Below are 26,649 nucleotides of genomic sequence, written 5' to 3'. Positions count from 1 at the left end.
CAAGATTCTAGAACTAGACAAAAGTTTCAAGGACTATATGTATGTCCTTCCTAAACAAAAATTAGTCAAACTCTGGCCTTTACCACTAAACTTCAAACAAGAGGTTGCACCTATGTGGCCACATCTAGTACAGTAAAAGGTTAATAGAAACTACTAGTAAACTTTCTGAACAACCAAACTGTACCAAAGAAAAAGAAGGAAAAACACATCATTTCTGTTAGTATATTGACCCTGGTCAATAATTATGAATTTATTTGATATTATAACCCTGTATTGGCCTATAGTTAATAAATGTTGAGTTCAATTTTATTAAACCATAGTCATCATGGTCATAAATTATTATTATTATTTTTTTTAACATGGTAGTTCTTTGACTGTGGCAATGAGCAAGTGAACTTACGTTTTACTTAATAAAAATTTCAGCCAGGCACGGTGGCTCACATATATAATCCCAGCACTTTGGGAGGCCAAGGCGAGCAAATCACCTGAGGTCAGGAGTTCAAGACCAGCCTGGGCAGCATGGTGAAATCCTATCTCTACTAAAAATACAAAAATCAGCCGGGCATGGTGGCGCACACCTGTAATCCCAGCCACTCGGGGAGGCTGAGGCAGGAGAATTGCTTGAGCTTGGGAGCTGAGATTGTGCCACTGCACTCCAGCCTGGACAACAGAGTGAGACTCCATCTCAAAAACAAACAATCAAAACAAAAGAAAACAAAAATTTTCATAAGTCTTTTTGTTTGTTTTGAGACATGATCACAGCATAATCCTCCCACCTCAGCCTCCCAAGTAGCTGGGACCACAGGCATGCACCACCATCCACCATACCCAGCTAATTTTTTAAATTTTATGTAGAAACAGGATCTACCTGTGTTGTCCAGCCTGGTCTTGACCTCCTGGGCTCAAGCAGTCCTCCCACGTCAGCCTCCCAAACTGCTGGGATTAGCCACCATGTGAAGCCCTTCTTTTTTTTATTTTTTATTTTCTTGAGATAGGGTCTCACTTTGTCACCCAGGCTGGAATGCAGTGGCATGATCTTGGCTGAATGCAACCTCTGCCTCCCGGGCTCGAGCAATCCTCCCACTTCAGCCTGCTGAGATGGGAGCACAGGCCTATGCCACCACGCCTGGCTAATTTTTGTACTTTTAGTAGAGACAAGGTTTTGCCATGTTGCCCAGGCCGGTCTAGAGTTCCTGGCCTCAAATGATCTGCCTGCCTCGGCCTCCCAAAGTTCTGAGATTACAGGCGTGAGCCACCTTGCCCAGCCCCTCTTGTTTTAAGGTTACTTTTAAGTCAAGAAAAGTGACACTCCATCGAACCAGGCCTATAGCTTAGTTCTGGTTCTTAAGTTCGGTAGGCAATAAATGTAAGTCAGGTGTGACAGAAACCCACATGAGGGACAGTTTTAAGTAGAATTATATGTTTAGACTTTTAACACATATTTTGTAGAACTCTGGCTATTTCTGAAAGTACCAGTGAACACTTGATCGTTTAATAAACAGAGCTTACCTGGGCTTAAAGATTATCCCCTTCCCCACCCATTGAAGTTGCTTTGAATACTATGACTAAAAAGGCTTTCCATTAAAATAATTATATAATGCAAAATCCAATATAAATACACACTTGCAAATATCATTGTAGTTATTTATTTAGATTGTTTTTAAATGAGATAGTGCCTTTAAATATGACTTCATAGCCCATTATCCATTACCATTCATTCATCCACTCATTTGTTCATTCATGAATTCATTTAGTTCAAATAATATAGAGGTGGAGATGGGGAGAAATCACTGGGGTGGGGGTGGATGTCAGGAAGTAAGCAAATGTAAGACTGCAGCTCTAGTATAGAAGAGATGATGAACATAAACAAGTCTTAGGAGAGGACAGGAAGAAAACCTTCCCTGTAGGCCCGTAAAATGTGCTTGAATGAAGGGAGGTTGGGCGCTACCAGTGGAACGTAACACCACAGCAAATGTGCGCCCACAGGTAGAGGGTTACATGTTCGCCTTTGTAGTTAAAAAAGAAAGGTATAGTCCTTTTCCATGTACAAAGCATTCTATCATTCATTACCAAATGTAATCCTCACAGCAACAGTGTGAATTAGGAGTGTTCCCATTTAACAATGAAAATGCCGAGGCCTTGGGGAGAATGGCTGGTCCAATGTTGTACAACCGGTAAGGCGGCGATAGAGGAGAAAAGACTAAAACCCAGATCTTTCTCTAAATTAGGAGCTTTGTGCACAATCCTGCTACCACCAAATGTTAGAATCGGAAGGGAGCTTAAAGACCAAGTCTAGTCCTTTCATTTTAAAGGAGTTGGGAATGGGCCCTGATTTGCCCCAGCTGGTACATAACAGAGTGGAGATCCAAGCCTTGGTTTCCTGACAGCTCCCAGTCTTTCCACTCTACCACCTGGCCTCAAAATGAAAAGAAACACAAATGTTCTACCTATAAATCAGAGCTCGCCAAAAGGTCACTAGAAATCAAACAGCAAACACCTATTCTCTTTGAAATTCACCAGCAAAGCTGGTGGCAGCAACATTTCCTCTATTCCCAGGAATCTTAAGGCTTTGGAGAAATGAGAATAAGCACCTCCACAAAAACAGAACCGCTGAATAATCCATTTAGAATCTTGGCCAGTATGTGCATACTATAGGCCTATTAAGTCAAACTTATTAATAGCTTTTCTTCACAGAGAAAAAAGTTCATATATACCTACTGACTGCATTTGATCAGTAAGATATCATGTCAGTGTCCTTCTTACCTGAAGTACATTTATGGCTGGGTCATATCGTGACATAAATAATCACATTTTGTAGCTTGCTTTAGACGGAATGCGATTTTTTTTTTTTTTGAGACGGAGTCTCGCTCTGTCACCCAGGCTAGAGTGCAATGGCGCAATCTCGGCTCATTGCAACCACCACCTCCAGGGTTCAAGTGATTCTCCTGCCTCAGCCTCCCGAGTAGCTGGGATTACAGGCACGTGCCACCACACCCGGCTAATTTTTGTATTTTTAATAGAGATGGGTTTTGCCATGTTGGTAAGGCTGGTTTCGAATTCCTGACCTCAGGTGATCTGCCCGCCTCAGCCTCCCAAAGTGCTAGGATTACAGGCGTGAGCCACCGCGCCCGGCTGGAATGAGATTTTTAAAAACACCAGGACTGAGAATCCATCCACCCAACCAAGAGCCAACAAAGTAGTAGTTACTTTAAACATTCACTTATCCATGAGACTACTGAAGAAATCCAAGAGGCTTGGTGATACTGACCTCACTCTCAGTTCTATCCACAAGTAGTAAAGTACTGCCAAATACACTTAGCAATTTCAGGAAAAGACACTTGTCTCCACAACCTGTTACTGAATGCAGCATATAGAATCCATTCGATTCTGGAGGACAACACACTCCAAAGGATGTTTCGTTTTGGAAGGAGAGCTGTAGGGGAAGGTACAGGGGGATGCTTAGCAATGCTTCCTGAGTGACTAAATGAACGAAGTGGATCTCCCTGGCCCTTAGTAATAATCCTATGAGATTCCAGGAAGAAAATTAGCTTATCTTCATAGAGCAACAACAAAATGATTCAATATGAATATTGTGGTTCTGAAGTTTGCTTCCTTCATTCTTGACTTTTGCCAGTTGCAGAACTCCACCAGTGGACACCGAGGTAGTGGGCGGCCAAGAGTCTGTGAAGCCAGTTATTCATGCATCAAGATTTCAAACGGTCCAAATGGAACTCTGGCAATGTAAGAACTCAGGAGGGGAAAAATATCTTGCAAGAATCTACTCTTACAAAAGAAGAGTTTTTGAGATTTAGGAAGAATGACTGCAGGAAGTGGTGATCAGCGCTGTGCAGTTGGGGTTAAGCTCCTCTCCTTCAGCCTTGGAGCGGCAGGAAAAGGCCCCAAACACTCTGAGGCTGAGGCTTCTCTGCCCAGGAACCCAGGATCATACAACCGCCAGGCACAGTGGCCACAGAGCAGCCTCCACCTTAAGGGAACAATTCCAGACACGACCTCATTGAATACACCATGGAAGATGTTATCTTCTTTAAAAGTACCCTCATGGCAGGGCGCAGTGGCTCACGCCTACAATCCCAGCACTTTGGGAGGCCAAGGCGGGTGGATCACGAGGTCAGGAGATCGAGACCATCCTGGCTAACACGGTGAAACCCCGTCTCTACTAAAAATACAAAAAAATTAGCCAGGCATGGTGGCAGGCGCCTGTAGTCCCAGCTACTTGGGAGGCTGAGGCAGGAGAATGGCGTGAACCTGGGAGGCAGAGGTTGCAGTGAGCCGAGATCGCGCCACTGCACTCCAGCCTGGGCGACAGAGCAAGACTCCATCTCAAAAAAAAAAAAAACCCTTACAAGGAAAAAGGCAGGCAACTGCCATCTCCCAGTCACGCATCCCCAGGAACTTGGCTGTATTATATCCTGCCTCAGAGACAAACTCATCTATTGTAGGCCTGGCCTGGATTGCTGCCTTTGAAAACAAGGAAAGGTCAGCAGAATATCAACCAAGGCATGGAATTTCCAGGGAGGTCTCATTTCAAAATGTCATCAACAAGAACCACATGGACCTCTGTGAGAGGGATGATTAAACTAGCCTGAGTTTGAATGAAAGGATTATGTGTACCCAACCTGTAACAAACACCAAGGAGGTAAAGTGGCAGAGGGTCTTGTATGAGCAACAGCCCTTTCCTGATAACTTTGTGGACCGGCGGTTCCTGGAAGAGCTCTGGAAAAACATCCATGCTCGGAAATACCAATATTGGGCTATGGTATTTGAGTCCAGTGTGGTGATCCCGCAGCTGTGCAGTGTTTTTGTTTTTCTGGTTATCTGGTGGTATATGGATGAGGGTCTTCTGGCCCCCCAATGGCTTTTTGGGACTGGCCTGGCTTCTTCACTGATTGGGTATGTTTTGTTTGATCTCACTGATGGAGGTGAAGGGCAGAAGAGTGGGTGGACCCGGTGGGCTGACCTGAAGAGTGCCCTAGTCTTCATTACTTTCACTTATGGCTTTTCACCAGTGCTAAGACCCTGACAGAGTCTGTCAGCACTGACACCATCTATGCCATGTCAGTCTTCATGCTGGTAGGCCACCTCATCTTTTTTAACTATGGTGCCAATGATGCCTTTGTATCCACTGTATCCAGCACACTATCCTTGAACATGGCCATCTTTGCTTCTGGATGCTTGGCTTCCACCTTCCCCAGTCCCTGCATGTCTTCATCATGGGAACACTTGCCATCCAGATTTTTGTCCTGTGGCTCATGCTACAGAAGAAACTAAAGGCACGGACTCCCAAGGGCTATGTGGTGGTCACACTGCTTTTTGCCTTTTCGGTCTTGGAAGGCCTACTGCCTATTAGTGCTGTGGGAGCCGTACTCTTTGCCCTTCTGTTGATTTCTATCTCATGTCTCTGTCCATTTTACCTCATTCGCCTGCAGCTTTTTAAAGAAAATATTCAGAGGCCTTGGGATGAAGCTGAAATCAAGGAAGACTTGTCTAGGTTCCTCAGCTAAATTAGGGACATTCTGATAGACTAGCCTCCTAACTAGTATAAAACTTAAAGACAGGCCGGGTGTGGTGGCTCACGACTGTAATCACAGCACTCTGGGAGGCCCGAGGCGGATGGATCACGAGGTCAAGAGTTCGAGACCAGCCTGGCCAACATGGTGAAACCCCGTCTCTACTAAGAATCCAAAAATTAGCCGGGCATGGTGGCGCGTGCCTGTAATCCCAGCTATTCAGGAGGCTGAGGCAGGAGAATCGCTTGAAACCGGGAGATGGAGGTTGCAGTAAGCTGAGATCGCGCCACCACACTCCAGCCTGGGTGACAGAGCAAGACTCCGTCTTGAAAAAATAAAAAATGAACCAAAGGCTTGGGTGGTGAGGGTGCTTATCCTTTCTGTAATTCTGTGGATGAAAAAGCTTTCTGGGACCCTCTTGAATTATTCGCTGTAACAAATGAAGTGATGTGGTTTCTATTAAAAAAATAATAATGCATTCAAACAAACAAAAATAAATAAATATGAATAAAAGTACCCTCACAAAATGCAGCCAGTCTGCCAGATTACAGTGACCCAGATTCTCCAGTCTCCTGCCTGGGACCCAAAAAGATACATCTGGCTCTACTTTTTTTTGTTAAGGAGAGACAGGGTCTGGCTCTGTCACCCAGGCTGGAGTACAGTGGCATGATCATAGTTCACTGCAGCCTCAAACTCCTGGGCACAAGTGATCCTTTTGCCTCAGCCTCAGCTTGTAGCTGGGAGTACAACTGTGTGCCACCACAACAGGCTAATTTTTTTTGTATTTTTTGTAGAGACATGATCTCACTATGTTGCCTAGGCTGGACTTGAAATCCTGGGTTCAGATGATGCTCCTGCCTTGGCATTCCAAAGTACTGGGATTATAGTGTAAGCCACCATGCCCAGCCCTGTTTTTTGTTTTGTTTTTTTAATTTATCACATCATTATAGATTAGAACCAACATCAGTGCTGATCTGCATACATGTAATTTCTACCTGAGTTTCTATAGCCAGATCCAAGTCCTTGTATAAACCCTGGGACCATCAGCAATCTCAAAAATCCTGAAAGCAGAATGTATTCTGACTCTACCAGGTCTGAAATCCTTCTCATGGAGTATCTGATTTCCTCCCCATCAGTCCTATTGGAATACCTACCCAACTGCTTCTTCAAGTCTTCCTTCAAAACACAAAATCACTGCACTTCCTTACAAAGAAGGATCAGAGAAAACAGCTGCTTGCAGTAAAATGTAGCCCTTCCCCCTGGTTGTGCAGGAGTGGCTGCTGGCCTTCCTGGAGTCTTTCTGAAATGGCTTCCAAGTTTCTTTTCTTTTTTCTTTTTTTGAGACAGAGTCTCACTCTGTTGCCCAGGCTGGAATGTAGTGGTGCTATCTCAGCTCACTGCAGCCTCTGCCTCCCGGGTTCAAGCGATTCTCCTGCCTCAGCCTCCCAAGTAGCTGGGATTACAGGCGCGTGCCACCACACCCAGCTAATTTTTGTATTTTTAGTAGAGATGGGGTTTCACCATGTTGCCCAGGCTGGTCTCAAACTCCTGACCTCAGGTGATCTGCCTGCCTCGGCCTCCCAAAGTGCTGGGATTATAGGCGTGAGCCACCACGCCCGGCTAACTTGTAAGTTTCTCTTAGCTTCCTGTACAGAAGGCTTCAGGTGCCGATATTACTGCATTACTCATACAGTAATATAGTCTTACCCCTTGCTGTTGTGGCAGTTGGTCATTCCAACTTCATGGCTCTGCTTCTAATATAACATCCCTGTCTAAAATGCAGACATACATGTGTACACTTTAAAAAAAAAAAAAAAAAAAAAAAAAGAACAGATCGTCTATGAGACCCAAATCACTCACGCTCAGAGGACATGTCAGGAATTCTGGTCACTGAAGTTCCTTGAAAAATAATGCTCAAACACCAGGGATTTCCTATGACTTCCTCATCTAGGAGATTCGTGAACTCAAGCTATTTTATCTGAAAACAGTTAAATCTAATTCCAGAATTTAATTCAATCATCACATCTGTGTATTGTCTCAGGGTCAATTTTTCAGTAAGAATTCCAGACATTTCTCTTCGTTCACATTACAGTAAACTATTTTTCAATACATTTCCTCCTTGACTTTCAAGGCTTGAAAGTCAAAGACTTTCCTTTCACTAGATCTCATAAGTCATAACTGCTCTCAACCAGATGCAGGAGTAATTTTGTATAAAAGAACAAGCTTTTTAAAGTCCAATAACTGTATCTTTGGGGGAAGGTTAAAAGAATGTTTAAATACAAAAAAGAAAGTAAAAAAAAAAAGAGAGAGAGACAAATAACTCTCCTCTAGAAAAAAGGGCTTGGGAGCCCTGGCTAGGCCAGGCAGGGAGGAAGCAATAAATAGGGGGAGAAAATGGCAATAAGACGTTATATAGCCCTTCTAACAAAAATACCAGAAGGGAGGGGTGAGGGACAAGGCTGTCTGAGGGAGGGCAGGAGGTGAGGCCATGGCTTGGTCTCTTTTGCGCTTGGATGGCCGTCAGCTCAGCATGAGGCATCTGAAAGAACTACCCAGATTGCAGAAGAGAGAGGTCCCAGCCTCCTTGGAAGGACATGATGGGGGAGGAGTGGAGACAACAGCTGAGTGTTACCTGTAAAACTCGAGAACAAAATGCTTCTTTGATTTGTAAACTTGCACTCATAAATACAATCTCTCAAAATAGAATTCAGTGGATTTCTCAACAAGTCTTTTCAACAGTGATACACAATATTCTTCCCTTTGGAATCGGTGCTGTTAAATAGACATGTACTATATAGCCATTTTCCAATGCAACATTAGAGTACAGAACAGGTATTCTGTGGCTAGTGAGTAATACTGCTGCTGTAGGGTGCATACACGTTAGGATCGGACGAGGATCTTACTCAGGATTGCATCGTAGTAGGGACAGAAGACCATCTTGTTATAGTTGACCAGGCGAGCAAATTTAATAGCAACTTCCTCCAGCTCTCTCTGAACTGGACTGAGTCCCCCAGGGACTGTGGGCAATGGCTTCTGATGACCCGAGGCAAGGTAGGTTTCTAAGAAGGTCAGGATTCGAGATTCTGTGACAAAAAAGAAAGTGGTCAGTTGTTTCTTGTCCTTCACCTTACAAACCTTACTGTGCTTCAGTTCTTAGCTTAACCATCACCTCTTAGGGGAAGTTGTCCCCGATCAATACTCCCAGACCAGATACCCACAGCACCTTGCACTTCTGCATATTCATCCCATTTATAATGTTTTCTCTCCCCTCTAGATGGTTAGTTTCATGAAGGTAGGAGCCATGCTCATCTTGTTCATCATGTCTCCTCAGCACTCAGCACAGTGACTGGCATGAGACCCAGCTCCCAGGAGAAGCTCAAACACACTTGGAATGCAAGAATGAATGCATGAGTGGCCAGGCGCGGTGGCTCACGCCTGTAATCCCAGCACTTTGGGAGGCTAAGGTGGGCGGGTCACCTGAGGTCAAGAGTTCGACCAGCCTGGCCATTGTGGTGAAGCCCCGTCTCTACTAAAAATATAAAAAGTAGCCAGGTGTGGTGGCGCACACCTGTTGTCCCAGCTACTCGGGAGCCTGAGGCACAAGAATCACTTGAACCCAGGAGGTGGAGGTTACAGTGAGCTGAGATCATGCCATTGCACTCCAGCCTGGGCGACAGAGCCAGACTCTGTCCCCAAACAAAACAAAACAAAAAAAATGAATGAATGCATGAGTGAGTAAAGGAAGACTGGAGACATGCTCTGCTCTCCGAGGAGCAACACATCCTGAGACCATTGTTAGCCATCGCTGACGATCACATAAAAAGGTGGAAGATTAAAGCAGGAATTACAGGTTCAAAAAAGACTTTTTTCCTACTAAGCCTCCATGAAAGCAGCTCGTGCTTCCTTCTCTGATGCCTGCATGGAAGTCATGGGCATTTGTAAACTTGTCCTACTTGGAGGAATAATTTAGGTTGATGCTTTTCTAGTCCATTCCCCTTCACAATGCTTTTGTACTCTTGTGTATCCTCATGAAAAAAGATTTGATCAAGCCACACTTCTTGCAGATTTTATCACAAAAACAACAGAGACATTTATATGGAATAGACTTTTTCAAACTACATGCCTTGCCTCCTGCCTGGGGAATCCTCTCAGGTGCAAATAACTTATACCCTCCTGAGCCTCACAACACAGACAGAAACTGCTGACAGGACAGGGCCTAACACCCTTACTCTTTTTTTTTCTCGAGACACAGTTTCACTCTGTCGCCCAGGCTGCAGTGCAGTGGCACAATCTCAGCTCACTACACCTCCGCCTCCCGAGTTCAAGCGATTCTCCCCACTCTGCCTCCCGAGTAGCTGGGATTACAGGCGCATGCCACCATGCCCAGCTAATTTTTGTATTATTAGTAGAGGCGGGGTTTCACCATGTTGCCCGGGCTGGTCTTGAATTCCTGACCTCAAGTGATCCGTCTGCCCCCGCCTCCCAAAGTGCTGGAACTACAGGAGTGAGCCACTGCACCCAGCCCTATCACCCTTCTTCTTTTTTTTTTCTTTTTTGAGATGGAGTTTCCCTCGTCTCCCAGGCTGGAGTGCAGTGGCGCGATCTCGGCTCACTGCAACCCCCGCCTCCTGGGTTCAAGTGACTCTCCTGCCTCAGCCTTCCGAGTACCTGGGATTACAGGCACACGCCACCATGCCCAGGAAATTTTTGTATTTTTTGTAGAGACGGGGTTTCACCATGTTGGCCAGGCTGGTCTCAAACTCCTGACCTCAGGTAATCTGCCCACCTTGGCCTCCCAAATGCTGGGATTACAGGCATGAGTCATCACACCTGGCCCTATCACCCTTATTCTTTTTTTTTTTTTTTTTTTTGAGACAGACTTTAGCTCTTATTGCCCAGGCTGGAGTGCAATGGCACAATCTCGGCTCACCACAATCTCCACCTTTCAGGTTCAAGCGATTATCCTGCCTCAGCCTCTCAAGTAGCTAGCATCACAGGCATGCACCACCATGCCTGGCTAATTTCGCATTTTTAGTAAAGGCGGAGTTTCTACATGTTGGTCAGCCTGGTCTCGAACTTCCAATCTCAGGTGAACTGCCCGGCTCGGCCTCCCAAAATGTTGGGATTATAGGCATGAGCCACTGTGCTCAGCACCCTTATTCTTAAGTTAGTTTGGTTCTCTAAGGTTCCCAGGGCTGGCAGCCTCACTGAAGTAGAAATCTTTGTATTGTTCCTACCCAAAGACTGGTTTTTCTTTTCTTTCTTTCTTTCTTTTAGAAACAGGGTCTTGCTCTGTCACCCAGGCTGGAGTGCAGTGGTGAAATTGTAGCTCACTGCAGCCTCAAACTCCTGGGCTCAAGTGATCCTCCTGCCTCAGCCTCCCGAGTAGCAAGGACTACAGATGCATGTCACTAACCTGGCTAATTTTTTTTTTTTAATTTTTTGTAGAGATGGGGTCTCACTATGCTGCCCAGATAGTCTCGAACTCCTGGTTTTAAGTGATCCTCCCCTTAAGGGCTGGTTTTCAATCTGTCGGTAACTGGCTATTACAAAACAACCCAGGCAGCAGGATGAGTAGCAACTTGCTGGCCACAGGTCTACTTACAGGCACTTTCCTGCCTCCCTATGAAGGTTGTGAGTATAAATCTTGGCTGGATGCAGTGGTTCGTGCCTGTTAACCCCAGCACTTTGGGAGGCTGAGGCAGGCGGATCACTTGAGTCCAGGAATTTGAGACCAGCCTGGCCAACAAGGCAAAACCCCATCTTTAGAAGATATACAAAAAATTAGCTGGGTGTGGTGGTGCATGCCTGTAGTCCCAGCTACTTGGGAGTCTGAAGTGGGAGGACTGCTTGAGCCTGGGAGGTGGAGCACAGAGGTGGAGTGCAGTGAGCCGAGATCGCATCACTGCACTCCAGTCTGGAAGACAGAGTGAGACCCTGTCTCAAAAACAAACAAACAAAACTATGTATTCACAGCATACAGCATGATGTTTTAAATGTATGTATATACTACAAAATGATTAAGTCGAGCTAATTAACAGAATTTTTCATAAAGCCATTGCTGTGATAACTAATAGCTAATATTATAGAATATTTTAAATATTTTATAGAATATGCATTAAAATATTTTAATACTTCAAGTTTATTATAAATTTTAAATAGCAATATCTTAATATTACCATTTTAAGTTATTATATTTGATATGTTAATAGTATTACATACTAATATTTAATAATATTTTAATAGTATTTTTAAATAACATCTTCATTTTACTATTCAGCTCTTTTCGTAACAGCTCCTATTTACTGAGCACTTACTATGTGCTGCCAGGCACTACGGAAAGCGCTTCACCTTCTCATCCCAGGGAGTTCCTGCAGCGACCTTGTAAGGTTGCTGCCCTTATTCCTGCTTTAGAGATGAGGAAACTCGAGTGTCAAGTTACACGCCCAAGCTGCCCTGGGACACTGCTTGTGAACCCAGGAGAGTGATTCCAAGGTTGCAGCCCTTAGAACAATGATGGCTGCCTGGTCCTGTGCCCATCTGTTGGGTGGCCCTGGTCTCTCTGTGGTGCTTCATTACACCATCTCCTCACCCATCAGCACCTTAACTCCAGCTGAGCCCTCAGGTTTCTTCAGATGGACTCGTGCTCCAGCCCCTCAGAGGGCACATCCCTGCTGCCTGCCTTCCCCAAACGTACCCATGATCCTGCGAATGGGGTCATCGGGACTGGCCACGGCCTGGATCTGGCCCTTGAGCACGGTCTCCTTGTCCGTGGTGAAGGGAGAGGACCCACACAGGGAGAGGCAGCTGCTCACCTCCAGGCACACCTTCTCCCCGATGGTAGTGAGGACGTCCTTCAGATGGAAGGAGCTGGGGCAGAGGAGGGGAGAAAGGGCCTATAAGTAAAATACACCTCTAACCAGCTCCAACCGCCCACACCCGGGTGAGAATGACGGCACCAATAACTGGATTTGTGTGTTCAAGGGACAATTTGAGACTCTTTTCCCTGCCACCTTACCTCTCAGGCTGTGCATACCTGACCAGGGGGACTTTCTTTCTCTCCCTCTGCTAGAAAGGACAGTGGGAAGGGCAGGGGCTCAGAGTATACCAGGACCAACGACCCAAAGCACAACTTCCTGCTAGCCTCTGTGTGATAAAATCAGCCTGGAATGACCTCAGAATATCTTGATATACCTCTGGAGGAATACACAAGAAAGCAGGCATTTGGTAGCTGTGGGACAAGAGGGAGAGAGAAACTCTTCATTGGATGCCCTTTTGTACCTTTTGATTTTTGAAACATACACATGTATTAACTAATTTTAAAAGAATAAAGAGGCCGGGCTCAGTGGCTCACGCCTATAATCCCAGAACTTTGGGAGGCCAAGGCAGATGGATCAGGAGTTCTAGGTCAGGAGTTCAAGACCAGCCTGGCCAACATGGTGAAACCCCATCTCTACTAAAAATACAAAAAGATTAGCTGGGCATGGTGATAGGTGCCTGTAATCCCAGCTACTCAGGAGACTGTGGTAGGAGAATCACTTGAATCCAGGAAGTGGACGCCGAGATCACGTCATTGCACTCCAGCCTGGGCAACAAGAGTGAAACTCCATCACAAAAAAATAAAAAAATATATAAAAATTAAAAAATTTTTAAAAAATAAAAGAATAACGAAAAGTGAAATCCTAAAGTTAAAAAAAAAGAGTACCTGGATACCCTGGGTCCCCCAGGCTCTCCCAGGGTGCCTGTGGGGAGCCCCCATGCTGGCAGGCATGCTGTGAGAAGGTAACTGCCTCTGTTGTGGGTCTAGATCCTTTGTATGTAGAATTACTGGGGGGCATGGGAGCAAGCCCTGGCACTCACCATTGGCACCAGCTCTGTGCCCACCCCTGGAGGACCAGGGAGGATATGGGAGTGCAAGGCTGGGCTCCCAAGAAAGCACTGACCTGGATCCCACCCTCAGCGGGAGCTTTGACAGAGTAGTTCTCCAGGCAGGGGACCTAGGTGACAGCCCAGAGCTGTACCTGTGCAAAGGCCTCAGGCTAGGCCCTCAGCTGAGCAAACAAGTTTCCTGGCCTCTCAGCAAACTAGTTTGACTGTCAAAACTGTTGAGGCCCTAGTCACAACTTACGGACACGCCCCACACTGCACTGAACACAGCCATGCTTTGTGAAAATTCAGCAGTAAAATTCCTCCATTTTGTAAGGATGAGAATGTTTAGGGGGTACTTCCCTTGAAGAAGTCTCTGAATTGGACCTTGTTAGATAGAGCATTTACTTAGAACCACTCAAAGATATTCTATAGGCTGGAAACCATAGAAGTCACCCAACATGACTCCATGGTAGGAGCGGTCACTGAAGCCTGCACGCGTGCAGATGCGGACTCGTGCTGGGTAAGAAAATGATGCATTACACTGAGCACAGAACGCCTACAGGGAACAAGCAAGGGCAGAACACTTCAACCACATACATGCAGCTCTGCAGGAATATAGCTGGTTTCTCTCATGACCTTCCTCTAGGGCTCTGCTTTTCACTGTTAGTCGGTTATGAAAGCAATTCAGTGGGTAGCAACCAATTTTTTTTTTTAATGGAATAAGAATAGAGTAGAAACAATCAGGCTGCATTAAACACAGTTAGGGTCAGTTCCAGTTTGAGAAGTTTTCGTTTCTGTTACACGTGTGTTAAGTGTGTACTAGGTCACAATGGAAAATGAATTTCTTACTGCAGGTCCTAGTCACAAACATTTTTGTCCCAATTAATGTCTCTGGGTTCCAGTTTCTTCATAAGCTCCAGTAAGAGTTTAATACATTTGAATGGCTTTGGGAGAGGAATAAAGCACTCAACAAACAAACACAAGAACCTTGGAGGTCAGGAGACAAAGACAACCCCATTAAAGAAGGAAGGGGTCAGACAGCATCCTGCTCCCTGCGTAGGGAGAACAAATGAGTTGATGGCACTCAACACCGAGCCAGGCCCCGGGAGGAGCATGCTAACAGGGAATGGAGGGCCGCGGGACCTCTAAGCCCGGGATCTCCAATTCCTCAAGGCAAGCAACCATTGGTACCAGCGCTCCCCACCCTGCTCATGGCTTACCCCCCAGCCCGAGCCACTTCTTCTCTCGCCTCCTAAATGCTCCCTCACATCTACTATGTGCCCCATGCCAAAATTTAAACTTAAGGGCATAAATCTAATTACGTTCCCCCTCTTGCTTCAAATCCTTCAATGGCTCCCTACTGCTCTTAGGACAATAACCCAACTCCTTGGTGTGGCCTCTAAGGCCCGACAGGCTACTCGGCTAGTCACACACATTTTGAAGCCACTATCCTAGAGCTCTGCTAACCCTGCAGCAGATTCTAACTTTGACCCTATGACCCTAAATAAACTCTGCTGGGGTCTTCGCCAAGTGAACCAACTGAGACAGCAAGGTTTCTTCTCAGTTCCTAGAGAGTGGCCCTGGGCTCTGCCTTACAGTGGGAGACCCCTCTGGGAGACTCCAGTCGGCTCTCTGACATCCACTGCGTCCCATCCACGCATCAAAGTTCCACTTACGGCAGGTGCATATCTGTTAGCAAAATCTTCACAATCATCTTGAGTTTCTCAGCAAAGTCGGCCTGGCTGGAAATTCCTGGCGCTGCCATGCTGAAGGTGACCAGCAACACAGCCCCCAGGATGGTCAGTTGTTCCAGCTGCAACTGGAGCTCGTGGAAGCGAGACTGGTCCATTAAAACTGTCTGTAATGAATAGAAGAGGCCATCGCTGAGCTGCAGGTCCAGGTTGGCCAGCAGAGGGCGGGAGCGCCACAGCCCCCACACCTGCCTCTGCAGCTTCCCTCAGGGTTTGCGCTAGTGTGTCAGAGCTTTGAGGGAGTCTGGTGTGAAATAACCCCTCTATCTCAGAGCCGTTCCTCCTGAGCAAGGATGCAGTATAGCGCCCTCACTAAGAACACAGACAGGCCTGGGTGTAAAGCCAGGCTCCGTGCTTAATACCATGACCTCCCCGGCTGGCCGCGGTGGCTCACGCCTGTAATCCCAGCGCTTTGGGAGGCCGAGGTGGGCAGATCACCTGAGGTCAGGAGTTCAAGACCAGCCTGACCAACATGGTAAAACCCCATCTCTACTAAAAATACAAAACTAGCCGGGTGTGGTGGTGCATGCCTATAATACCAGCTACTCGGGAGGATGAGGCAGGAGAATCTCTTGAACCCAGGAAGCAGAGGTTGCAGTGAGCTGAGATTGCACCTTGGTACTTCAGCCTGGGCAACAAGAGTGAAACTCCTTCTCAAAAAAAAAAATAGCATGACCTCATGCATGCATCCCCAACTTTGTCGGGCCTCTGCAGAATGGGGACTCCCACATCACAGGGCTGTTTTAAAGCTGAAGAAAGATGCTACATATAAAGTGGCTGGCAGAGCCAGCACTCGATAAATAAAAGTTATACTTATTGTTAGGAAGAAAAGTATAATGAGGCACAGACCTAGGGTCACCAACTCCTCCCAGTTTGTCTGGGACTGTCCCAGTTTTCAAATGGAAATTCCCAAGTCCTGTGAACCCTCACTCAGTCCCTAGCAAACTAGGACAGCCAGTCACCCTGTACAGAGCAATGGAAGGCCAGGTGCGATGGTGGGTGCCTGCAGTCCCAGCTACTGGGAGGCTCAGGCAGGAAGATCACTGAGGCCGGAATTTCGAGGCTGCAGTGCACTACGATTATGCCTGTGAATAGCCACTACACTGCAGCTTGGACAACATAGTGAGACTCCATCTTAAAACAACAACAACAAAAATCCCAGAGCAATGGAAGGGAGGACTGCCTTGCAGGCAGAGCCTACACTTATTCATCTTGGTATCCGCTCAGCACCCAGCACAAAGGAAGCTTGTAAGAACTGGCGAGTAAATAAAGAGGAAGAGAAAGAAACAGGAAGCACAGAGAGTAGAAGTGACAGAGAACAATCTAAAGCCTCCCGGAAAGCAAGCACATTCCCATGACTGCCTCCCCCATGTTAAAGACAGTCCTGGGTCCTACCATGCCAGCGCCCCCACCCGTGTGGCTGAGGGAAGGAGAAGGGAAAGGCTGCACAGATGGGAATCTGATCTGAGAGTTTACAGGCTCATCGAATGGACTCTAAGGACCTTTCTTGCTGTCAGAAACTGAGATTTGCCAAGTCAAGACATGAACAATGTGGGTCACAGCCAAGAAGTAAAAACCCTGAGGATTGAGAATCCTCTGCTGATACAAATACAATCCCAAGGACTCATCGTCGGCCTGTTTTCTGACTTCACATGGCTTTGTGGCTTCCCAACAGCAGGACGTGAGTTTAGGATGCAGATTGCCAAGGATCAATTCCTGGAGTAGACAGCTGTCCCCAGGGACCATCACCATCTTCCCCACAGCGTTTCTTTTCTTTTCTTTTCTATTTATTTTTTTTACGAGAGGGTTTATTCATAAGACTGCCAAGTGAGGAGGCTGGAGAACAGGTCTCACATCCCCCTCTCCATAGAGAGGGCTTAGGGATATTTATGGGATGAAGAAGCAGGGGTATCTAAGGCCTGGGGAAGATGATCAGCGGTGGGGAAAAGGGAGGTATTGGATGGTCTCCCACAGCTATTTTTAAATAGACATGTCAGGCTGAGAACTTCCCTCCAGAAGAGAACATGCCACAGTTCAAAGGGAACATTTTCCCATCTCCAATTTGACATTCTCTTTAGAGCTTCCTCCAGCACAAAACGGGGAACTCAGAGGCAAGAGGTGAAACCTTAAGCTCACAACTTCTTGAAAGGAAAAATAAGGAACTTATAAGAAAGATATTTAGAGAAGTATCTGGATCTGAGGCTAGTGATAAGAAGCTCACGTACCCCCCAAAAAGAGAGGGGGAGTCTACATAACAAAACAGCTATTTAGAGAAACACTGGGGGAATCCCTTCTTAGTCATCTTCTTAAAGAGGTCTTGCAGTTAGAAGTATGTATTGTGAAAAACATAAAAAGAAAAAAATATTGTTCAGCATGGAAGGGGAAGAAGTTTCTTTAGATAAAGCTGTGAACAACCACACCTCTGTTGTGGTTTCCATCAAGATGAGTAAAAACAGGAGAAAAATTCAGCAGCACAGACTGGAGCCTCATACATTGCTGGTGGGATGGTAAAATGATGCAGCTGCTTTGGAAATCAGTTTGGCAGTTCCTCAAAATGTTAAACTTAAGAGTCACCATGTAACCCAGCAATTCTAATCCTAGGTACGTAACCAAGAGAGGTAAAAACATATGTCCATGCAAAAACTTGTACTGGAATATTCACAGAAGCATAATTTATAATAACAACCCAAATGTTTGTCAACTGATGAATGAATAAACAAAATGTGGTACATCCATACAGTAAAATATATTATTCAGCCTAAAAAAGAAAGGAGGGCTGGGCATGGTAGCTCATGCCTGTAATCCCAACACTGGGAGGCCAAGGAGGGAGGACCACTTGAGGCCAGGAGTTTAAGATCAGCCTGAGTAACATAGCGAGACCCCTGTCTCCACAAAAAACACACTTAAAAATTAGCTGGGGGTGGTGGTACACTCTTGTAGTCCTAGCTACCCAGGAGGCTGAGGCAGGAGGATCACTTGGGCCCTGAAGTTCAAAGTTACAGTGAGCTGTCGTACCACCTAGCCTGAGCAATTCAATGAGACCCTGTCTCTAAAATTTAAAAAAATTTTAAAAAACCCAGAAAGGGAACACTGACACATACTACAACATAAATGAACCTTGAAGACATTATGCTAAGTAAAATAAGCCAGACCCAAAAGGACAAAGATTGTATAATTCCACTCATATTAAGTACCCGGATTAGTCCAATTCACAGAGACTCAAAGTAGAATGGTGGCTGCCAGGGGCCAGAGGGCGGGGGCAATGGGAATTACTGTTTGGTGTGTTTGGTGGGAAGACAGTTTCACAGAAGGAAAAATGAAAATGTTTTGGAGGTGGCTGGTGGCAATGGTTGCACAACAATGTGGATGCACTTAATGCCACTGAACTGGACAACTAGAAATGGTTAAAATGGTAAATTTTATGTTATGTGTATTTTACCACAACAACAAAAAAAACACAGTGGAAAAGAGGACTAAACTACTGCTATATGTGCTACAACGTGAAAAAACATTGGTGAAAGAAGCCAGGCACAAAAGGCTGGTAGTGTATGATTTCATTTAAATAAAATGTCCAGGATAGGCAAATCCATAGAGACAGAAAGCAGATCTGTGGCTTCAGGCGTTGGAGGGAGGGGGGGAGGGCAGTGACCGCTGATGGATGCAGCGTTTCTATTGGAGGTGATGAAAATGTTCTCAATTAAACAGTGGCAATGGATGCGTAACTCTGTGACTATACTAGAAAACACTGAGTTGTACACTTTAAAAGGGAGAATCTTCTGGTACATGAATTATATCAGAATAAAGCTATTCTTTTTATTTTTTATTTTATTTATTTACTTATTTATTTTTATTTTTTGAGACAGAGTCTCGCTCTGTCGCCCAGGCTGGAGTGCAGTGGTGCAATCTTGGCTCACTGCAAGCTCCGCCTCCCAGGTTCAAGCAATTCTCTGCCTCAGCCTCCCAAGTAGCTGGGGCTACAGGCCCCTGCTACCACGCCCAGCTAATTTTTTGTATTTTTAGTACAGAGGGTGTTTTGCCATGTTGCCCAGGCAAGTCTTGAACTCCTGACCTCAAGCAATCTGCCTGCCTCTGCCTCCCAAAGTGCTGGGATTACAGGAGTGAGCCACCGTGCCTGGCCAAAGCTATTCTTTTTAAAAAGTTCAGCAGCACAAAAACAAATATGAGTAGTGAGATGGCTCAGGAGACCTACTTCGGGGAACGGCCTCTGGAGGTGGTCCCACTTCAGAAGCTTCAGGTAAGCGTAATTCTGGACAGCAACAGGGCTCAGCCTGGGCATGTCCCCAGAGCCAGCAGCCATTCCCCCCACTGGCAGGGCGTGTTTATACTTCTGAGTCATAAGGTCCTCTGAGGCTTCTTCCAGCCACTGGGTGACAAAGTCCAGGGAATCTGTGAAAAACAAAGCTGCACACATTACCTTGACACCAAGAAGGGATGCTTCTCGGAATTACTTAAGGGACAATCGATGTCCTGGTGGAGTGATAAAGTATAAAGTATGAACTTTGGAATCAAATAAAACTTGGATCAAATCATAGTAGTGCCAATGACTAACTGAGGGATCTCAGGCAAGTCATAATGTGTCTGAGTTTCAGATGCCTGATATAGGCAAATTTACAACACCCACCTCACAGGCTGTTGTGAGGATTAAACAAGATAATGAATAAGCCAGGCATGGTGGCTCATGCCTGTAATCCCAGCACTTTGGGAGGCTGAGGTGGGAAGACTGCTTGAGCCCAGGAGTTCGAGACCAGCCTGGGCAATGTGGCAAGGCTCTGTCTCTACAAAAGATACAAAAATTAGCTGGGCATGGTGGCACATGCCTGTAGCCCCAGCTAGCTGGGAGGCTGAGGCAGGAGAATCACTTGAGTCCTGGAGGTTAAAGTTGCAGTGAGTGGTGATCACACCACTGTACTCCAGCCTGGGGGACAGAGCTAGACCCTGTCTAAAATAATAATAATAATAGTAACAAATACATGACACCTAGCCAGGCCTTGCCACCCACCTGGTATTTAACAAACCTTCCTTCCCTTCTCTCCCATCCTGACCACTGCATGAGATGGACCCCAAAGCCCTGGCAACTCCAGCTCTAGAGACAGATAGGATGAGACACCAGCTAGAGTTTCCCTGTGTAAAGTATCCTCTACACTGATGATGAGGCTTTTCCTTGTTTAGATCTTAACCTTGTATCAATCTGGCTTCCTTTCAACCTGGGGGAAAGTGAACTCTGTCAGGGAAGCCCCATCTGGCTTTCAGCAGCCCTCCTGCACCCCTGCTTTTCTAAGCTTGGTAATGCAGGGGGCACTCTGAGGGATACAGAGAGAGAGCTGGAGGATCTCACACATCATCTGATAAAAACTGCACCTGTCAGGTCCCAGCAGGTGTTGCAGCTCTGTTAGTGGAGGCTTCCTGCTTCCTTAAAACCAAGTGGGCGGCCAAGGTCACAGCTGTGGTTTGCTCTTCACTGGGGCAGGGGGATGCAGCTCCAGTTTACCCTGAGCTCTCGGTCATGACTCCTGGGCCATCTGGCTTCACCCTCTCTTCTGCTGATAATATTCTCCGTAACCCCCCAGCTTTGGGAAACCCAGGCTTTCATGTTGTGAGTTAAGTGCTAGATGCAGGCACTGTAGCTGCTTCCACCCTACCAGTGAGTCCTCCACTATGCCCCAGCTTCCAGGTCCAGGCCTTAATATTACGGCTCTTCAGGCTACAAAACTCTGCCTAGCGGAGGTTGCAGTGAGCAGAGATCGTGCCACTGCACTCCAGCCTGGGTGACAGAGTGAGGAGACTCTATCTCAAAGAAAACAACAACAACAACAAGAAAAAACTCTTCCCAGTACTCTCACAACACTGGTGAGAGTGTGAGCTTGTGGTCAATCCATTCTGGTCAAAAATCTCCCAAAACCTGTTTCCAACATCTGTAAAATGGGATTAAAAAAAAGGTGCCTGGCTCATCAGCTTACTGTGTGAGGATTACATATGATCATGTACATCCAGCCCTTGGCACAAGCCTGGCACTTAGTAAACATTACCAAACTTCTTCTACTTCTACCTCTACCCTGTCCTTTCTCAACCTGCCCCGGCCCCAGCACTACCTCAGACTCCTCTGCCTGGGGCTGGATGAATCAACTGCATGGGGCATTCACTTAACTAATCTGGTCAGGCAACCCAACCAACCCAGAGACTGCTGTTTTCATCTCCTCGTCAGCAAAGTTAGAGGCCAAATGGAATTCATCATACATTGAATCTGAAGACTGAAATTTACCCAGAATGTCAGTTAGCAATGCAGAGACCATAAAAAGCACCCTAGAAATACAACGTAGTTTTAGATTCTGAGAGTCGTCTGTTTTCTGCAGTCATCGGAGAGGTTCATAAAAATGAGACTCTTCCTGGGTATGAAACAAGAAGATTTATGCATCCAGAACAAAAGCAAAGTTAAATTTCCTGCTGTGCCACACAGGGAGAAGAAAAGTGAATTAACATTCACAGGATGTCTGTCATGTTTTCAAAAATCAAGACCAAGAATGTATTTTACTTCAAACTGGTGTTTTCATCAAAAAACCATTTATAATTTAGGAATTCATTGTTTTTAATTTCTATTCTCATAGCCTACTCACATTCCTTTTGCTTGTGAATTAAGTTTTCTTTTCAATGCTTAACAACTCTAGATGTAGTCCCAACATTTTGTGCTTTTCCTTCTTCAAATTAGACTATTCTCCTACTAAATTTTAGTTTTGTTCTGAAAATAATATTATGCAACAAGCTATGGCAGCTAAAATGAAAAACCACAGACAACAAAAAAAGTACCACAAAATATTCAACATACTTGGTTGCCTCTCCAAAATCTCTTGAAACTTCTTCCTTTCGTATTCAACTGACTGCTGCATGAGATGAGGCCTGATGCTACTGATAGCAAAGTTGGCCATGTCCACTTTCATTAGGTCCAACACAGAAAAAATTTCTCTGAAAGAAAAAAGGATTTAGAAGCAAGCATTTGTAAAGTAAACATAGCATTAAAGGAAAAGAGGACCAGACGCGTGGCTCACACCTGTAATCCCAACACTTTGGGAGGCCAAGGCGGGAGGACTGCTTGAGCCCAGGAGTTCCAGACCAGCCTGGGCAGCATAGCAAATGTGACAACATGATAAAAACTGATGGATCCACATGAAGGGCTTGTGAGTGTTGATTGTACTGTTTTTGTAACTTTTCTGTAGGTTTGGAATTTTTCAAAAGAAAATGTTGAAGGAAATTAATGTATAAAAAATATATCTATGTATCAAAATGATAAGAGTGATTATGCCTCTGAGAGGTAAAATTATGAGTAAATGTCTTCTTTTTACTTTTCTGCATTTTACAAATTTTTTTTTTTTTTTTAAATCCATGAGTACCAAGACTTCAGGAAGTTTAAATTGAAAATAGTTCTGGTCTGGGCACAGTGGCTCACGCCTGTAATCCCAGCACTTTGGGAGGCCAAGGCAGCCAATCACGTGAGGTCAGGAGTTCGAGACCAGCCTGGCCAACGTAGTGAAACACCATCTTTACTAAAAATACAAAAATTAGCTGGGCACGGTGGTGCGTGCCTATAATCCCAGCTACTCAGGAGGCTGAGGCACGACAATTGCTTGAATCCAGGAGGTGGAGGTTGCAGTGAACCAAGATCACGCCATTGCACTCCAGCCTTTGCAACAGAGTGAGACTCTGTCTCAAAAAAAAAAGAAAAGAAAAAAAAGAAAATGCCTCTGAATTGTAGTTGCACGGAGTATGATTAACATATTTCCATACCTGAAAAGGGGCACTATTTCCTTAATGTCCTTTAGTTTCTTAACTTCCTCATCTCGAGCAGGTGCACACAGTGTCCCCATCATGCCAATAATGAATTCTGCCAGCTTGGAAATGTCTAGCGCCCCATTCTCTGCTTCCTGCTTTATCAGATCCAGATCCAAGACTTCTGTTATCTGGTTTCTCAGTCTAGTATGACCAGGCAGCAAGAAAGATAAGAGAGTCTACAAGAGAACACAGCTACGTTTAATCAAAATTCTTTAGACATCATTTCTAATTATATGTAATTTATAACTATCCAAATAAGGGCTTCTCAATTGCTACGTAATATTGCACATATTTTACTTCTTATTCAACAAACCTACAGAAAAACATGTTTACAAATCATTTACAATAGCTACTTAAGCTTCCATTTAAGCCCTAGGTAGCAATTAAATGGATAGAAGAAAAAACTGTTAATGGTGAAAAAAGAAAAGCATGTTTATTAATGTGAGCCTGTGAGCCAACCATAGCTGATGACAATTTCCATGCATACATTTCTTCTTTGATGCTACTGCTAAAGGCGCTGCAAAAACAGTCCCTCCACCTAAAGCTTTCTCTGTCCCAAAGGCTGAGTCACTTTTTGGCCATTATAAATGGAATGTGTCCACACCTATTAAAATTTATAAATAAACTAGATTTTGTGAAATAACTTTGTTGTCTTAAATGCCTTCAGGTTATCATGGTTTGCTTAAAACTTTTTTTTAAAAAAGGGCATTAAGCCAAAAACACTCTTGATCCACCTTCTGGCAAGTACTTTAACTTCTTGATCCTTCAATTTCTTTAAAGTCTTCTGGTGGTGACACAAGAAGTTGAATAAACACTCCTAACACACCAGAAAAGCATCACAATTCACTCTTTGCCTCACCTCTTTGATTTCTCCTACAAGTTTGATAGCATGGTCATATGCTGGGGGATCTTCACTTAGCTGCACACTCAAGCAATCCCAAAACGCTTTATGTACAATCTCCTTTACTCTCTTCTTCAAGCTGGGGCAGTGAAAAAAAAAAGGAGGGGGGCAAAAACCAAAATATTTGAGTTTCAAATCACTTTCAAAAGCACAAATACTATGGGTTTAGGGTAAGATCAATCCCAGTGATTTGGACCAAGGAAAGATTTCCCAGGCATACTTCAACTGAGGGCATACTTTATTTTAAAAGTTAGTGATTTTTTGCAATAAGCATCTCATTGGAAAGAATCGCTCTCAACTAACTGGATAGCCAACATTAATCCAAGAAACAGCATATGACAGTGCCATATAATAAGAATATTGGAAAGTTCAAAGCTGTTAATTTTAGTTCCCTGTTACTAGTAAGTTTCCTAAGATGTTTATAATTAGGTAGTCTAAGATAACAATTTAGGCTGGGCGTTGTGACTTACGCCTGTAATCCCAGCACTTTTGGAGGCCGAGGCAGGCAGTTCACCTGAGGTGAGGAGTTCGAGATCAGCCTGGCCAGAGGTTGCAGTGAGCCGAGATAGTGCCACTACACTCCAGCCTGGACAACAGAGCGAGACTCTGTCTCAAAAAAATAAAATAATAATAATAAGATAACAATTCAGTATGTAGTAGGTTGAAGGACTTTATTTCCTAAAAATATCATATTTCCATGTGATACATGGGACAACTGCTTAACTAGGTACCAAACTGTAACAACTTATATATACAACATAACATTTCATTAAAACCAGTATTGGCCAGGTGTGGTGGCTCATGCCTGTAATCCCAGCATTTTGGGAGGCCAAGGCGGGAGGATCACCTGAGGTCAGGAGTTCAAGACCAGCCTGGCCAACATGGTGAAATACTATCTCTACTAAAAATACAAAAATTAGCTGGGTGTGGTGGTGCATGCTTTATAGTCCCAGCTACTTAGGAGGCTGAGGCAGGAGAATTGCTTGAACCTAGGAGATGGAGGCTGCAGTGAGCTGAGACTGCACCACTGCACTCCAGCCTAGGCAACTGAGCAAGATTCCGTCTCAAAAAACAACAATGGCTGGCGCAGTGGCTCACACCTGTAGTCCCAGCACTTTGGGAGGCTGAGGCAGATAGATAACAAGGTCAGGAGTTTGAGACCAGCCTGACCAACAAGGTGAAACCCTGTCTCTACTACAAATACAAAAATTAGCTGGGCATGGTGGCGCACGCCTATAATCCCAGCTACTCAGGAGGCTAAGTCAAGAGAATCACTTGAACCTGGGAAGCAGAGGTTGCAGTGAGCCAAGATCATGCCACTGTACTCCAGCTTGGGCGACAGAGCGACACTCCATCTCAAAAAACAACAACAACAACAATAAAAATGTCTTTCTGTCTTGAGCACAAAACAAGCAATTCTTCACTATTAAATGCAAAAAAGTACCATCTTTGCAGATATAAGAAATCTCTGTGAAGTCATATTTAGAAGCTTCTTGTGGGAGACACTTGCCAGCACAGCAGCCATTCCTCCTCCTTTTGTTAACAGAATCCCAGTGTTTTTCAGGGCAACAATATACTCTGCCTGTGACAATAAATCATGACTAATCTAATAAGCCCATCACAGCAGTTCATTCCCTTTTAGCCAACTTAAGCTCTCCAGGTTCACTTATAGCAAGGGTAGCATGTGACTAAATTCTGATTAACAAAATATTAGCAGATGTCTGTTTCATGACTCCAGGGGAAGATGTTCCTCTCCAACAAAAGGAGAGCCCTAGTCCTCCCAAACTTTTTGCTCTTGCCAGGAAGGCTGATGTATTATGGGATGCTTGGAGCTGCAGCATTCATCCTGCAACCATGAGGACAGGCTAAGAGACTCTCAGGCACCATCCAGAATCCTGACTTTGGTGAGCTGCTGACAGAAAGGCACTTGCACGCATATTTCCTTGATTCTAAAACAAACTCCCCCCTCCCCAATATTTTAATCTCTCAGAAACTTGGATCTTTCTTAAAATCAATGGCATTTTTATAATTATAATGGGCAGTGTTTCCTCTTTCTTATGACAGCACATTTTTAAAAGGTGCACCTTACAACCAATAGAGTTTTTGATTCAATAAAAAAATGGTTAAGTGCCAGGCACTAGGGACACAGAGAATAACCCACAGTCTTCGCCTTTGCGATGAAACCAACAACTATAGTGCAGTGTGATAGTTTCAAAGAAGTGAATGAAACAAGGCAATGAAAACACAAGATGAGGCAGCTAGATCCTACTGAGTAGGCAGACTTTCACAAAAGATTTTTAGAGCTTTTATTTGATTTTTAGGTTGTTCCTTGTTCAGGAATATTTTTTAGCAATAATGTACAAAAGGAAAAATACGTTTGAATATATTGGTATCAACTGAAGGAAACATTTTCAAAACTGGGAAATGACAGTGTTCTACTAAGCAAGATAATTTAGCAACCACCTTACCTGTTTTCTGGTAATTCAACTGGTTTAATCTGAAAGTCTCCATTTACTACAATTTCATGGGCTAGAGCCATGTTGGTGACACCTCTCGCTGTCTCTAGAAGTTCTTCTACTGTCACAAAGCGAGGAGGACTAGCTGTAACAGAAACTCACTGTAAGAGATTTGCTTCCCTGGATCTGAATTTCTACTAAAATAAGAAAACAGTGGTTCTGGTACCAGACAATAATTTCAGTTATTGCGTCTATTAAAATGTTTGTTCTGGCATTTTCAAACAGCAACAGAATGTTACTTC

At 44.8% G+C, this 26,649-nt stretch overlaps 1 protein-coding gene, 1 long non-coding RNA gene and 1 pseudogene across 11 annotated transcripts in view, besides 3 other annotated features; 1 reads left to right on the top strand and 2 right to left on the bottom strand.

The window, feature by feature from the left end:
* Positions 1-1,630: 1,630 nt before the first annotated feature.
* On the bottom strand, positions 1,631-4,935 carry LINC00294 (long intergenic non-protein coding RNA 294). The gene has a single exon (NR_015451.1). It is a non-coding gene; the product is annotated as a long intergenic non-protein coding RNA 294 (long non-coding RNA).
* PIGCP1 (phosphatidylinositol glycan anchor biosynthesis class C pseudogene 1) lies at positions 4,367-6,010 on the top strand (annotated as a pseudogene).
* The window catches only part of TCP11L1 (t-complex 11 like 1), a 33,992-nt gene continuing 14,864 nt past the window's right edge, over positions 7,522-26,649 (bottom strand). For 4 of the 10 annotated variants that reach the window (XM_017017989.3, XM_011520205.3, XM_011520206.3 and 1 more), the window contains exons 3-10: positions 26,360-26,492; positions 23,850-23,970; positions 22,946-23,166; positions 21,990-22,126; positions 19,359-19,570; positions 15,074-15,255; positions 12,226-12,398; positions 7,522-8,611 (exon numbers count right to left, since the gene is read on the bottom strand). In XM_017017989.3, the coding sequence (XP_016873478.1) occupies positions 8,409-8,611; positions 12,226-12,398; positions 15,074-15,255; positions 19,359-19,570; positions 21,990-22,126; positions 22,946-23,166; positions 23,850-23,970; positions 26,360-26,492 (1,382 nt within the window). In that variant the 3' untranslated portion in view covers positions 7,522-8,408. Of the gene's footprint in view, positions 8,612-12,225; positions 12,399-15,073; positions 15,256-19,358; positions 19,571-21,989; positions 22,127-22,945; positions 23,167-23,849; positions 23,971-26,359; positions 26,493-26,649 lie in introns of those variants that run through there. The other 6 variants (XM_011520207.3, XM_017017990.2, NM_001145541.1 and 3 more) reach the window with 4 other exon arrangements.
* Positions 12,333-12,834: an enhancer, noted in NCBI's record as "H3K27ac hESC enhancer chr11:33089797-33090298 (GRCh37/hg19 assembly coordinates)". NCBI's record gives its function as "activates a minimal SCP1, AML or CMV promoter by ChIP-STARR-seq in primed H9 embryonic stem cells {active_cell/tissue: H9 hESC(primed)}" and the evidence as "EXISTENCE:reporter gene assay evidence [ECO:0000049][PMID:30033119]".
* Positions 19,064-20,263: an enhancer, noted in NCBI's record as "MED14-independent group 3 enhancer chr11:33082368-33083567 (GRCh37/hg19 assembly coordinates)". NCBI's record gives its function as "activates an origin of replication core promoter dependent on BRD2, BRD4, P300/CBP and CDK7 cofactors, and independent of MED14, by STARR-seq in HCT116 cells {active_cell/tissue: HCT116}" and the evidence as "EXISTENCE:reporter gene assay evidence [ECO:0000049][PMID:35650434]".
* Positions 19,390-19,439: an enhancer, noted in NCBI's record as "active region_4573". NCBI's record gives its function as "activates an Ori minimal core promoter by ATAC-STARR-seq in GM12878 lymphoblastoid cells {active_cell/tissue: GM12878}" and the evidence as "EXISTENCE:reporter gene assay evidence [ECO:0000049][PMID:35858748]".

The sequence above is a fragment of the Homo sapiens genome, chromosome 11 (assembly GCF_000001405.40).
Source record: "Homo sapiens chromosome 11, GRCh38.p14 Primary Assembly".
In the NCBI taxonomy this organism is placed as follows: Eukaryota; Metazoa; Chordata; class Mammalia; order Primates; family Hominidae; genus Homo; species Homo sapiens.
Note: the sequence above shows the minus strand (reverse complement) of the source record. Positions and strands in the feature narration are given on the sequence as shown.